Source organism: Homo sapiens, chromosome 7 (genome assembly GCF_000001405.40).
Source record: "Homo sapiens chromosome 7, GRCh38.p14 Primary Assembly".
NCBI classification, from domain to species: domain Eukaryota; kingdom Metazoa; phylum Chordata; class Mammalia; order Primates; family Hominidae; genus Homo; species Homo sapiens.
This window is the reverse complement of record NC_000007.14, coordinates 84,809,136-84,824,832: the sequence shown is the minus strand read 5'-3', so window position 1 is coordinate 84,824,832 and position 15,697 is coordinate 84,809,136. Positions and strand designations below refer to the sequence as shown.

The window sequence follows — 15,697 nt, the reverse complement described above, 5'->3', positions numbered from 1 at the left end:
TCTATCCTCAAGTTCTTTCATCTAGCAAGAATATGTATGGATTTTTTTTCTCTCATAGCACCTAGCTTTAAGCTGATACCAGTGGGCTAGGGGAGGTCCCCAAATGCCAGCATAACCTCCACCCTGGCCAGTGTCTAGGCTCTTGACACCATTGTCAGAAGGAACTCAAGGACAAGTCAGAAAATAGTGAAAGTATGAAGATTTATTGCAAAGCAAAAAGTACACACTCAAGAAAAGGCAGTGTGGGCAAACTCAAGAGAGTGAGTCGCTTGCAGTGGGGCTTGGGGCTTCTATCTTTACTGGTTTCTTTAACCAAGGGGTGGAATATTCATGAAGATTTCTGGAAGAAAAAAGGTGAAGATTTCTCAGAACTGTAGTGTCATCCATTTTTACACCAAATATGAGTGTTCTTAGAAATGTCATGGAGCTGATGGGTGTGTGATTTAGTGTTTAATGAGCATACAGCAAGGTCGTAGGTGAAACAGGCCAAATCCAGCACCCTGTTGGGTATATTTTGTCCTATCTGGCTGGGCCAATATCCTATTTTTCAGGGTCTTATTGGCCCCTAGCTTATGCAGCTATTTCAAGAATTTCTTTTTGCCAAGTCATGTGAAATTGCTACCCGGAATTTTCTTCTTCTGTAACTACCCTGTATTATTCCTGTCTCAAAGCCACAAAAGGAGGTAACTCACCCTTTTCTGTCCCTTTTGACAAGTATTTATACTTCTTCAGAAAGTTCCTAATTTTATTCATGCTCCAAAACCTTCAGAGTTTTTTACTGCTTTTTTTTTTTTTTCCTCTCAAATTTAGGGATGTTAATTGTGTGAGGTCTGGCTGGTAGGAGCCCATGCAGTCATCTCAGAACTGGAATCCCAAGACTAATCACATAACACAAATCACAATTGTCCTGTTAAAATTAAGTCTAATCATACAACTTGTTTTGTGGAAACTTCCCAATTGCTTCCTGTTTCAGAATAAAATCCAAGAGCCTCATCATGACTTATAAAGTCCCTCATTACCTAGCCACCCCCAATTACCACCCTGATGGCATCTCTCATTACTCTCCCTTGGGTATACACCACTCAGTGCTGTCCTCTTTCTGTTAACTCATACGTGAATACATATATCAAGCCTGTTCCTCTTTGTATTTGCTTCCTCTTCTTGGAATATTCTTAATGCCAAATGTAGGCATGACTGTCTCCTTGAATGCCATCAGGCTTATACTCAAATGCTACTATTTTAAAAATAAACTTTATTTTAAGTCAAGCACGTCCATGTGAAGAGACCACCAAACAGGCTTTGTGTGAGCAATAAAGCTTTTTATTCATTTGGCTGCAAGTGGGCTGAGTCCGAAAAGAAAGTCAGCGAAGGGAGATGGGGAAGAGGTTGTTTTATAGGAGTTGGATAGGTAATGGAAAATTACGGTAAAAGGTGGCTATCTATTGTTAGAGGAGGAGGGGGTCACAAGGTACATGGTGGGAAGATCATAAGACTTACTGTCCAGAAGAAGAATGTCATAAAGTTGACTGATCAGCTAAGGTAGGGCAGGGACAAGTCACAATGGTAAAATGTTGTAATTTTGGCTAATCAGTTAAGGGAGGAACTGGCTGTTTGACTTTGTGGTTTTTTGGCTGCTCCAGACTTCTTGGCTCCTGCAGGGCACCTGGATGTGTGTGTGCAGGTCACAGAGGTTATAATGGCTGAGCTTTGGCTCAGAGGCCTGACATTTTATAGAACAGTTTTAGATTTACAGAAAAACCGAAGAGATAGTACAGAGAATTCTCGGATACTTGTCTGGGGGCCATTGGCCCTTGGACCCGTAAAGGTTTGCTAAAAATCACTGACATGAGGCACATTGATGAATAGAATAAAAGGCACACAAATTTATTTAATTTGTGTACACAAGAGGCTTCAGAATAAACATCCAGTTTCCTAATGCATTATAGAAATTTATATACCATTTTGAGGTTCTGGAAAGAATAAGGGCTTAGACTCTAGTGAAACAGGTTATGGGAAGGGTGGAGGGAGAAAAGTCTTGGCTAGCAAAGGTGGACCTTGTTACGTTGACGAAGGCTTCCTTAGAGAGAATATATGGAAAATGTTTCTTTTCACACTTTTAAAGGTGTCAGACTCTCAATCTCTCCTGAATCAGGGAAGGCATAGAAAGGGGAGGAGGAATGGCTGCATTAATGAAGATTCTCCACAGATGCAAATTTTCCCCACAAAAGACTGCTTTGCAAGGCTGCTTCTGTTTGTGTGCCAAGTGGCAGCCATTTCAAAATATGTTAAAGGGAAATATTTTTGGGTAAAATATTTTAATTTCCTTTATGCTGCACCCAGTCCCAATCTCCACCCCCATTACTAACATTTACATTATTAGTGTGCTACATTTGTTATAATCAATGCACCATTACTGATAGAGTATTATTAAATAAATCCCATTATTTATTCATATTTCACTTAGTTTTAATCTGCTGTCCTTTTTCTGTGCCAGGATTCTATCCAGGACTTCACATGTTGAAGTCATGTTGTCATGTTTCTTTAAGTTCTTCTTGGCAGTGACAGTTTCTCAGGCTTTCCTTGTTTTTGAAAACCTTGATAGTTCTGAGGATTACTGGTTATATATTTTGTAGAATGCCCTTCAATTAGAATTTGTCTGATGTTTTTCTGATGGTTATGTCAGAAGCGTTTTAACCAGAGTGACTCCATGTTGTATAGAGGCTGGGTAAAATAAGGCTGAGATCTACTGGGCTGCATTCCCCGGAGGTTAGGTGTTCTTAGTCATAGAATGAGACAGGAGGTCTGCACAAGATACAGGTCATAAAGACCTAGCTGATAAAATAGCATGTGGTAAGGAAGCTGGCCAAATCCCACCCAAACCAAGATGGCGATGAAAGTAACCTCTGGTCATTCTAATTGCTCATTCTACATGAATTATAATTCATTAGCATGCTAAAAGACAATCCCACCAGCACCAAGACAGTTTACATGCCATGGTAACATTAGGAAGTTGCCCTGTATGCTCTAAAAATGAGAGGAACCCTCAGTTCTGGGAACTGCCCACCCCTTTCCTGGAAAACACATACATAATCCACTCCTTGTTTATCATATAATCAAGAGTGGCAATAAGTATCCTTAGTTGAGCAGCTCATGCCACTGCTCTGCCTATGGAGTAGCCATTCTTTATTCTTTACTTTCTTAACAAACTTGCTTTCACTTTACTATATAGATATGCCTTGAATTCTTTCTTGCAGGAGATCCAAGAACCCTCTCTTGGGATCCGGATTGGAACCCCTTTCCAGTAACAGACTGATTGGGGTTATAGATCCTTGGGAGGAAGGCCACAGAGGAAAAATGCCACTTTTGTCACATCATATTAAGGGTACATACAGTCAACATGACTTATCACTGTTGGCATTGACCTTGATCATCTGGCTACACCAATTTTTGTTAGGTTTCTCCACCTTCAAGTTATTATTATTATTTTTTAGCCAGTGTGTAACCAGTACAGCTAGTTTGCTAGTTTACCCTAAAAGTAACCCTTCTCTTGCTTTGTATCTACACATACATCTAACTACCTGTTTGCTTGAGAATTTCCAAGTCCAATCTTGAAACAATCTAGGAACCAAGTGGAGATGGCGGTTGAAATTTTCTCCCTTGCAAGAAGAAATTGGTGTCCAGTTAATTCATAACCCGACTCCCATAGAGATGATATCAGCCAGGCTTCTGGATGGTCCATTACCCAAAACAGCCATCAGAAAACAACAAGCAGACTTTACCTCACATCACTCTTGCACATAGTTTCCATGTCACCTTTCCTTAAAACCCCTTTAGGCAGTCTGAAAATTTGAAATGGCTTTTTGAAACTTGAATCTGGCCATCCCTCAAGCTGCTATCACCTAAATAAACTTGTTTTCCTTCCCCTAAACCTTGATTCTTATGTGTCTGGCTTTTTGAATGTTGAGCAGGTGAACCTAAGTTTGGTTACAATTTCTTTAAGAACCTTTGCTGCTTTTATTGAAGAATAGTATTAGAAACAACTATCTGGTCAGTGGATATGCTTGTTGCTACTGGGTGTCATTGCTCCTAGGCCTTTTCAGATGACAGAGCAAGAAAATGTATGTGTGCATACTAACCCATGTAGATTTGCATACCCATAAATATTTCTGTACGTAACCCTCTGTATCTATATTAAGCTAAACATGAGCTCATACTGTGTCCAACTCTAATCCATTACTACATGGATCATTCTAGCCTCTTTTCTTCGTTTAACTTATAATCTCCCACTCCAAAAATGAAAATCCAGTTTTTACCATCTGCCATCCATGTATTTAATTGTGTAATTCCAGTATACATATATAATAGTTTCAGAATTTCTAACCCACATCACTATGGAAAACAACTTTATGAATTATAGTTTGGTGCTTATGTAATCTTTTTTTCTTTTATTTTTTGCCTTTAGTTTTACAGATTTCATTCATTTCCAAAGTAACTTAGGTCAGTCACTTTGGTTTGCCTGTGTCCCCATCAAAATCTGATCTTTATTTGTAGTTCCCATAATCTCCAAATGTCGTAGGATGGACCTGGTGGGAGGAAACTGTTTTTTCTGTCAATGTTCAAATTTTTCCAAATCAGGAGCAATAATTGTGTTTGAAATGCATGGAAGTGAGATTTTATTTAATTTTCATGTATAGTATATTATTTCAAAATTTCAGCTATAAATGTGGTTTGTGTCCTCACTCTCTCTTTGTTTCTTAATAGAATAGTTTTCATTCATGTATGTGAGTGCGTGTTTGTGCGTTTGTGAATATTTTACCTGTAGTATGAATGGGTTCAGATAAAAATTCACAAATTTATTGGCATTTCTATTGTAGATATTCAAGAAAAACAACAAAGTATATCACCATTAAAGTTCAAAACGAGTAATAATTTATTGCATAAAAGTGGAATGCAAGCACTAACATTGCAGCACTGATTTTAACTGCTTTACCATCCAGTATGGAAAACATTACGTATCAGTGTTAGGATTTCTTTTAGCCCTGATGTTTCTGTCTGGAGATTGTTATTGTTTGGGAGTTAATTTCAATTATGGCAGTAGAAAAATTATAATCACACTACATGCTGGTATTTTGATAGTTTTCTGAAAACAGAAAGAATGAGTCTTGAGATGTTTTTATACTTCTTGAATTTCATCATTCTTCATTAATGTTAAATGAAACAGCTTATTTGAGGTAGTTCTGATTGTAAATTGCACATGTCAAGGAGTTAAGGTTAGTTGCCAAGATATGAAGAACAGAAATGGAAAGGAATGCTAAACCAAGCACGGCGCATATGGGCTAATCATTGTTGAAAAGCCATTGCTGAGTGAAATATATGTGGAATGATTTTGGTGGTCTGAGAAAGTAATTCATAATAGAGTAATAGAAATTGGTTATAGATAAGTAAATTTAAGGATATCTGTGTAATTACTACTGTATAACATTTCCAGTAGCTTCTGCCTAGTGGTTTAGTAATTATTGCCATCTAGAATTGGTGAGAAAATAAGAAACTCCTCTACATGTAAAAAAACATTTTCAAAAGAGTAATTGGCTTCTTCTAAGACCCTAGATATTAAGAATTTATGTTAGTTTTCTCTTTAGAAATAGAGTCACAATAAGAAATGAAAGGATAAATATTTTTAGTTATTTTTTTTCTAAAGCACATTCAGGGTCCCTAAGAGTAATATAGAAATCCAGATATTGCGCAGTGGAATATAAAAGACATGTTCACATCTTAGCAATTGTATAATTATTTTGACAAAGGGATAATTATCATACCTTTGGAGTTCTAGAGTGATGATTTTTAGTAATTATGATTCTGCATTTGATAAGCTAGAAAATTCATTGTCGTTTTCTATGCAAAAGTTTAATAGCTTTTATTTTTATAAGCTCAAAAATTCTAGCTAGGTTAAATATTTTAGAACCTCAGATAAGAAGGGTCTATCCTGTGAATATCTAAGTCGTTTAACTAATATTTACAACCTTACATGAATGGAAACTGCAATATATAGTTTTCATTGTGAAGACCATACAGTTGCACTGAAGAGACGACTAAACAAGGACCAGAAAGACTCCAACATCCCTCTTCTGATGGAATCTTCTCTCATTAATATTGAGAATTAATAATTGAATTATTGGAATTGAATCAATTCTATTCTTCTCATGTTCTATAAATATCACATATTTTTGCATTTTTTTTTTGTTCAGTGTGTTTTAGTTGCCTTAATGCTTTCACTCACGTTTTTCTTCTGATAATCACTATTATTGGGGTTTCATGAGACTTGTGATCACTTCCCTTTGTTGACAATCAAGATGTGATCTTGAGCATATGTATTCCATCTGAGGATCAGTTTTCTCATATGTGAAAGAGAGTTTTCTCATGTAAAACTTCCTTATTGGGAATCGTGCAAATAAAATAAGACAATCCCAGATGATAAATTAACATTCTGATCCACAGGTGGAAAAACCTAAGTGGTAGCTATTACTGGCAGTATTATGAATTGCAGATGGTATATAATATATGCAGTCAATTTTCAAAATACATTCCAATAAATGAACATTCCTCCTGCTAATCCAAAATTTAGCAGCTTTCCAGCAAACAAGTACCAAGTCCCATTCTTAAAGGGTATAAACTTTAATTTGATGAGCATTGAACTATTTAAGTTTGTCAAGTTGTTGAGGCAGCTTTGCCAAATAACTTAATGAAGACATTTAATTTGCTCAGAACTACTAGCTTACCCACTCTCATCTTTAAAAAATGTTTTCAAAAATATTTGGCTGTACTATATTGTATAAAAAATGGATTATGCTATTTTTATTAATTTGAAAGGAGTTTTGGGGTATTTGGTAGACATTTTGTACTCCATATTATAAAATGCTCAGATAAATATATACAACAATGAAACTCTTTTGAATCTATTAAAAAACCACACAACTGATAAATTTCAAGAAATCTCTATCAAAATGTCTTGTAGGGTAGTGGCGAGATTTTATTAATTTTAAATTAGAAAAAGACAACTGAATGTCTGCACAGGGTTAAATATATATTATTGTAAAATATTTTGATATATATTATATTTTATCCCCTTGCACATTTCCTCATTCTGGCAAACATTTCTTGCCATAGTTTTCTGGGAACTCATTAATATAAAATATCCTTATGCTGAATCTATGCTTACATAGCGTGTAAATGATTTCAGTTTTTTAAACCATAAAACAATTCTGAATTTTAGTGATCCTTACTAGTATACCTATGTGCATGCCATGATTTAAAAGGTAAAGGGCAAGGTCAAAACAGTTGCTGCAGAAGTATAAAGCACTGAGGAGGTGACAGAAAAAAACAAGCAAGCTGAGTGTGGTTGTGCGCTCCTTTAGTCCCAGCTACTGGGAATTCTGGGCTACAGTGAGCTGTGATGTCGCCAATGTATTCTAGCCTATGTGACATAGCAAGATCCTGTTAAAAAAAAAAAAAAGGAAGGAAGAAAGAGAGAGGGGAAGAGAGAGAAAAAGAAAGAAAGAAAGAGAGGAAGGAAGGAAGGGAGAGAAGAGAAAGAAAAGAAAGAAAGAAAAAAGAAAGGAAAGAAAGGAAGAAAAAAGGAAAGAAAGAAAAAGAAGGAAAAAAATGAAGGAAGGAAGGGGAGAAGAGAAAGAAAAAAGAAAGGAAGGAAGGAAGGAAAGAACCTTGCAGACTACAGCAGAAGGAAATGGTGGCTTGCTGGCTTGGCATTGAGGACTTTACTGGTTATACTAATTGAAGATTACATGTCCAGTAATTTTCTCCCAGATCTATAAACATTATGTGTTTAATTGGTTTTTATAATGCATTTAAAAATCACTTTTCAATGCTTCCTAAAGTACTCAAGAAATATGAAATTTTTTTGAATAATCAAGAATTTAAAATAGCTATCTATGAGGTATCCCACAGTGAATAATGTATGACTACACACCTTTTATAAAGTAAGCCATGAGCCACTTCCAAATCTATTTTATTCAGCCAAAGATTGGCAGGTAATCAAAATTATGTTTTAATTCAATAGAAATAGTTTAATGGGGAAAAAGATGTTTGTGGTTAGCCTTTAAGAATAATTAAGTGATTGTGAACCAGGATCCCTTTTTGAGACTCTATGCATATAGAAGTATATATTGCACGTGTATAAACACTTTAAAATAATTATACTCTTTATTATTTTCAAGGTGTCACAAACAGAAAATATTATTGAAAAGAATTTCCCTATATAAAAATATTATTGCCACTTCCCAAAATTAGCAGTCATATTTTTTTTCTAGTTATTTTGACTGCTGGAAAAAATCAGAATGAGCACCATAAGACTTTAGCTAATTCTGGGCAATATCTTCATATGATCAGTCTCTGCCACTAAATCTAATAGGTGTTGCATTTTGCACCTATGAACAGACCTCACATATTAAGAACTTAAGAAAAGCTAACTTGCCAGTAAATTGCAATTACCATATGAGCACTAAGGTGCAGTCTGTTCAGAAGCTTTATGTCATAATTTCCATAGATAAGATAAAATGATATTTAATTTGTATTTTTTATTTTATTAATAGGATATTTTATAGATGCCATTCCTTCCCACACTCTAATTTATCTCATTTTATAGTGCTTTCCTTAAGGCCCTGGAGACAACCTACTTATTTTTTAAGACTGTTTCCTAAATATTTGGGAATGCTGTTATTATTTTCTCAGTGAATCAGAGGGTAGCTTGTAACATAAACTATGTTTGTAGTTTATGCTGCTAAAATCTTTGGTGCTTTGGTTTGGCAAGCAAAAGGGCATGGGCCCAATGAGAATAACTAGAAAGGCTATGGGGATTGCTACTGCTAATGTCACACATGCGCGCACACACACACACACGCACACACATGTGGATATATATATACACACACATATACACTCATATATGTGGCATATATATGGCTTTGTATGGTATTAATATGAAGTTCTTTAGATAATATTTTAAGCATTGACCATCATCAAAAGAAGAAAATATAGATGCATCAGAACACCATGGATTTCATAATTTGTAAGGAAAGCTGGAACAGGATGAATGTAGTGAGAAATTCATGTATTCATTCAACAAATATATATGTGTATATATATATATTTGCACGTGTGTGTGTTTGTGTTAAACATCTTAGAAAGTGAAGCAACCTAGTCTAAGGTTTTAATGTTGAAATCAAGTTCTTATCAAAATTTTACAACTGCAACATCCCTTTCTTCCTAAAAAGCCAAAAGCCTTGGAAAGCATTCTGGGAAACTGAGGTAATTTTAGAATAGAGGTCATGAAAACATATTTTTATAAAAGGGGTGATTATGTCATCCTATTGGAAAAATTATTTAGAAGAAAATCTTCAACATACTAGTCAGTATAGTAGATGATAAAATAAACCATTACTTTCAGATTATTTACAATATTTATTTAATATCAAAACTGCCGGTGGTCATTATAATAAATATCATCTACTTTTATAGTTGCCTTCTATTTTGTTCCAATGTTTGGGGCTTTAGATACTAAAAAGACTTTTAGTGAACCTGTGAGAATTTACTTAAAGCTGTTAGTGTATGTGCGTGTTTCTTTCCATTGCAGGTTATGAGAACATATTTAAAGTATCCCATTACTTTTCTTGTTTAATAAGAACCAGTATTATTTTGTGGGCATAATTTAGAAACTCTATTACAGACATGTTTGCTGGGAGTTGAAAATGTTAATTAAAGTTCTTAAATATCTGGTTGTTATTTTATTAAATGTAAAAGTGTCAATGTCATAGACTGTATGTTTCTTATAAGAAACATAAAGAACAGAACCATTACCCATATAGTCTACTTTTAATGAAATGATATTAATTGATTCTTTGTATATAATAAACATTTAATATTAATGCAAACTTAACTCATGGTACCAAACTAAGTGGTTGTAGAAAAATGCTGGCTTTATTTGAAAGATGTTGAATTGCAGTGGGAAAATAAAAAAAACAAAACAAAACAAAAAAAACAAAAACAAAAAACAAAAAAACAAAGACTAAATATCAGTAGACATATTTCTAGGTTAGAATCTGCTTTTATTAGCTTTTATTGTAAATGAGATATTTGGCTTTTGGGATCTCAGTTTCCTCAGCTATAAAATGATTTCTTTCTTCTTTTTATTTGTATATATTTGTGGGGTACCTGTGCAATTTTGTTACATGCATAGATTACATCATGGTTAATTCAGGGCTCTTAGGGTATCCATCACCTGAATAATGTACACTGTACTCATTAACTGATTTCTTGTTATCCACTCCACATCCTCATCCTTCTGAGTCTCTGTTGTCCATATAAAATGACTTTTAAAAAAATGATTAAATCTCTTTATATTTTCTACCACCACCTTCAGCTGGATTACAGAGATGTAGATACACATCAAAAAATAGAAAATACTACATTTTTTTTTGACAGGATAGTGTTAATATTTAAAAAATCATTTACATATTTGGGGAGGGATAAAAACACTTGAAAGCGGAATGGTTAGAAAAGCAAAATAGAGCATTTGAGAGTGTAAATAGTGGTAAAAAACCAAAATAGATGTAAAGAAAGGAAGAACACAGATGAGAGTGTAATGATAAGGAAAAACAATGAGAGAATAAAAACTGAAGATAAACGTCTTTCAAGTCTGTGTATTTCTGTTTAAGTCAAGAAAAATTTTTATTGACCTAGTCCAAGTACTTGCAGATCAACAGTGGTAGTGATGGTACTAAGTCAATGGAAATGTTTCTCCTAATTATTATTTTTAACTTTGTATCAAATAAAAACATTCATAAAGTTCTTCTTGACAAAATTTCACAGTAAAACATAAATTTATTTTATATATATATGGCTTTGCATTGTATTAATATGGAGTTCTTTAGATAATATTTTAAGCATTGATGATCATCAAAGGAATATAATATAGATCCACAGAATATCGTTGATTTTGTAATCCGTAAAGAAAGCTGGAATAGGATGAATGTCATGAGAAATTCATTCATTCATTTTGACAACTATTTATTTGGTACCCAAAATTTACAAAATACAATTTGTTGGAGTTTACATGTTAAACCATGGTCTCTGCACAGAAGGGACAGAAGCAAAGAGAGACAAAGAGAGAGGGAGACAGGGAGAGAGAACCTGATCAGACTTGTCTGGGTGTTGCAAGTTGTTATTGTGTGAAATGGCATTCTTTAAAGTGAAGGGATTATAATCCTATTTGATTTTCTAGTTGACTGAAGGGCTTCAAGGTGGGGCGAAATATGTCACAATTAGTGTTTAATGACGGAGGAAGAAAGTTTTCAAACATATAATACCTGCTAGGAATTCTAGTACTGACATGTTTCAGACATTAGTAAAAACTACAAAAAGAAGAAAAAAGTGAAAGCTGGAAAAGAAACATGCATAATAATATTGAAACTCAATATCATAAATAAAGCACCCCAAACACACATACACACCAAATGAAAAATATGTGGAAGGACACATACTAAATTGACAATCTTAGTTACCTTAGAAGACGGAATTAGATGTGTATGGGAGGCATGTTTCTGTAGATAGCTCTGTACCATTTTGAATGTTACAATGGAAATGTAGCATTTGCTTGAATGGGATAAGGGCCTGGAAACAAAAAGGTCCAGTAATAGCATACCTTTGCATTATTTATATACAATTTATAATGGTTTCTAGCTAAATCTCTCTCTCTCTCTCTCTCTCTCTCTCTCTCAACATGAGTATTGGGTAATGGCTTAACTATCTACATTTTTTAAAATAGGACCGTTTTACAAGATGTGGACAGTAGAACAGGAAGATACTTTGGAGCAATTCATTTTAGCTTAGCTTTCCACTCCTGGTTAAGGACTACGTCAACCAAAAGACTTGTCCATCTTCTATTTCCAAGTCCTGATCAGAGGGCAGGGTTGGGCAGGCTGTCTGAGAGGTAGCACTCTATTTCTAGAACCAAAACATGAAAAATCAACTCATTGACACATTGTTTTAAAACTCCAAGGAATATTTACCTAATGTCTACTATATTCTAAACAATCAACATATTGGGCCTTAAAAACATAGATATTAATATAAAAGACCTTGTCTTTGAAGAAGTAGAAATCCTCAAATGGGAGACTTACCCATAATCACCCTGTTGTAATACAATGTGATTGGACTATTATAAGAATATGTCAAAGCAGAAGGGATGGTACAGGATTTCTGCACAAAATTGCCCAAGAAAGATTTACCTAATAAAGTAAAATTTGAACTGGATCTTTAAAAAATGAGCAGAAGTTTTCTAGGTTGATTGGAGTTGGCAGAGAGGCATTTATTACTGGCAGAGGACATTGCATTTGACAAGCCACAGAGTAATTTAAAAAATGGAAATTTTGGAAAACTGAAATGCTACTTACTACAGGGGTAAAATAGCGAGCAGCCAGAGATGTGGGTGAAGATGAAATGAGGGAATGAAAAGTTTTGTGCTCTGAAAGAGTTTGGACTTTCTCCTGTGGGTAATAACGAACTATGAAAATACTTTAAGCAGGAGTAAAACAAGCCAAGGATCAGCCTTGTTTCCTTTTTGGCAATGATAGTTTTCTATTTTTATATTGAGACCTTTGGTTCTATTAAAAACAAAACAAAACAAAACTTTTGTTTCTTAAAAAGGCTTATTATTAATTAAAATAGAACCAAATTTTATTTGCTTAAATAAAAATAGGAAGGAAAAGTGTAGATTCAAAGGAAGGCTAACCACATAATGAATGAATTATAATGAATGAATTGGGAGTGGGGTCAATGGAGGCAGTCTTGTTCCTATAAATGTTTACTTCTAAACACATGTTCAGGGGGAAGAAGTCAAAATCTTTTACTATGAATTAAGATAAAATAGGCAGCTATTTAAATAGCTCAGAAACCAGTGAACATTTTTGAAGTCGTATTTCTAAAAATAATATGCAGTAGTACTGCTCTATTTAGAATTATTTTATCAATGGTGCATTACGTTAAGAGATTAGTTCAGATTTTTAAAAGTATCATGGCACACAAATGCTGCACTTTGGGTTTCTGTTTGAAGTGAGTTGTGTGTGGTCCTGCACACAATCCGGATCATCACCAGCTAATCCTCATGTCTCCCAGAGAACAGAATTCCCATTGTTGTGGTTCTTCACTAGAAACAGCTGGGTTACCTTTTCTGGGTTAGCTGGTGGGATGGGCAGCTGCATTCCCCAAATCACACAAATCACCAGTGAAGCTTATTTTGATTGCTAGTTTCTGCACATCAAGATACTCTTAAATTTTTTTTTTCTGTATGTTGTCATAGATTCCTTTCATGCACTGCTCCACCCAGCAAAATATTTGGGCTGCACATTCTGTATTTCCACTGTAAAGATACCATTCTTTTCCAAAATTAAAAAAAAAATACTCTGAGATTTGTTGCTTCAGTTTTGAATGGGAAAAAATAGGTTTATTTCTTTCTTTTTAGTTGTATTCATAGTCCCTTAGGGCAGTTTTGGCACTTTCATTTTGACATACACTGAAAATATGTAGTGAGTTGAGGACAGTTTGGTGCACAGAGAAATGTGTTCTGTATATTTTCTTTGCTGTGGAGGAAGATCATCGATATCAGCTTTCTTTTGTAAAATAAGAGACTGGCATTCTTTAGTGCCAGCATGAGGCAGAAAGGGATGGAGAGAGGGCATGGTGATGATAAGAAGCGATCCAAAATTGTTAAGGTAGTTTATACATGTCTTGATGTACTAACTCAATGCACTGATTGATTTAATGGTGAAATCAAGAGAGAGTGCATTTATTTACATATTAAAAGCCCAATATGTTACTACTATATACACATTTATTAAAAAAAAATCTGAACTTGAAGAGTGCAATTGTCAGGGGAGGGGTGGTGGGGAGAGTATTAGGAAAAAGAGCTAATGCACGCTGGGTTTATACCTAGGTGATGGGTTGATAGGTGCAGCAAACCATCATGGCACACATTTACCCAAGTAACAAACCAGCATATGCTGTGCATGTGTCCCAGAACTTAAAAAACAAAAATAAAAATAAAAATAAATCTTTTTGTTTTTTTCATTTTAATATTTCCCTGTAGCAACAGCCTAGAATGTCTCTTTTTATTCAATGGTTCTCGTAAGTCTTCAGGTACTTCCAGGTACCAGCAGCATAATTTTTATTTATTAAAAAGTCCAGTACTATTATATCTAAATAAAAACGTCCATCTTATAACAAATTAACTACAGCTCAGGTTGGAGTCCTTTGTATTTCAGCTGTGAGGACCGTGCACCTTATAGGTTCTTTTACTCCTTTATCTCCTTATGTTCCACAACTCATTCTGCTGTTTTTGGTTTCCCAAGGACAGTGAGATGGGCAGGAAGAGAAGGATGTGAGGAAGAGACAGCTTTACCTTCTCGTGTTTTTGGATTCTAGTTGGTAGTTTCTCCTTTTCTGGTGCAGCTGCTGCACTCCCTGTGTGATCTCTTATAGGTTCCTCCATTACCAGTCCTGGTGTTTTCAAGTACATCTGGTGGGGATCCACATAGTCCAAGAAGCAGCCAATTCTTTCAGATTGTGTTTGTTCAAGATAGTTTGAACCAGGCTACAGTCTCATGTGTCCATTTGGCACACAAGAGGATTTGTACATTTTAGCCAATTTTCTCCTTCTTAACCTTGCAATGCTGATAACCTCCAGCTCTAGCAAAGGATATCCGGGCCCAAGGAGACATGTTAATCTTTGACACTCTCTGCTGCAGCCTCTTGACAACTCTGGGCCTTTTAGTTTCTGCATTCCTCCAAGTACTCAGCTAAAGTAAGTATTTTTTTTTCTGGCAACTACCTTTCTAACTTCTTTAACTATTTTTTTCTTCTTCCCTCATTTGTCCATAGTAAGAGAAATGCCACAAAAATATTCTCCTCCACATTATCTCTCAAGGATCTCTGCAAGGCCTCTCGCATCTTTCATATAAGCTAGCAGTGAGATATGCCACAAAATCATAGTAAGGCTCATTTTGTTTTCTTGTTTCAAGCTCCACAAAGGGTCCTTATTACTATTGGCCTCAGCATTGCCTTTTAGCTGGAATTCTGAGAAAATTGAGGAATTGCCTCATTTAATATCCTGATACAATAATACGAATTTAATATACGTGTTCTATTCATTATGGGAAATTAATAATAGCACCTAAATATTAATATATGCCCAATATCCTAATCCATCAAACCTTTGAATGTTACCTTATGTTGTAAAGTTTTTGAAAACATGACTAATTTAAGGATATTGAGATGAGGAAGTTATCCCGAATTATCTGTTTAGGATCTGAATTCCACAAGTGTCTATCAGAGAGAGGAAAAGAGAAGTTAAACCATACACTGAGGGGAAGGTAGAAACTGGTATTTTAAGGCCACAAGTGAAAGATTGCCAGGATCCCTACCGGCCTTTTCCTGGAAGAGAGAAGGAAAAGATTCTCTCTTAGAGCCTCTGGAGGAGTGCAGCCCTGCTGACACCTTGATATCAGATATCTTGCCAGCAGGACTGTGAAAACAATACATTTCTCCTGTTTTATACCACTCAGTTTGTAATAATTTGTATGGAAACAATAACAAACTAATGTATCTATTATTATATAGTAATAACTTTCTA

The 15,697-nt window shown here is 34.9% G+C and overlaps 1 annotated feature.

The window, feature by feature from the left end:
• Window positions 10,003–11,515: an enhancer, noted in NCBI's record as "VISTA enhancer hs2328". NCBI's record gives its function as "enhancer in: eye[5/6] | nose[5/6]" and the evidence as "EXISTENCE:transgenic organism evidence [ECO:0001131][PMID:17130149]".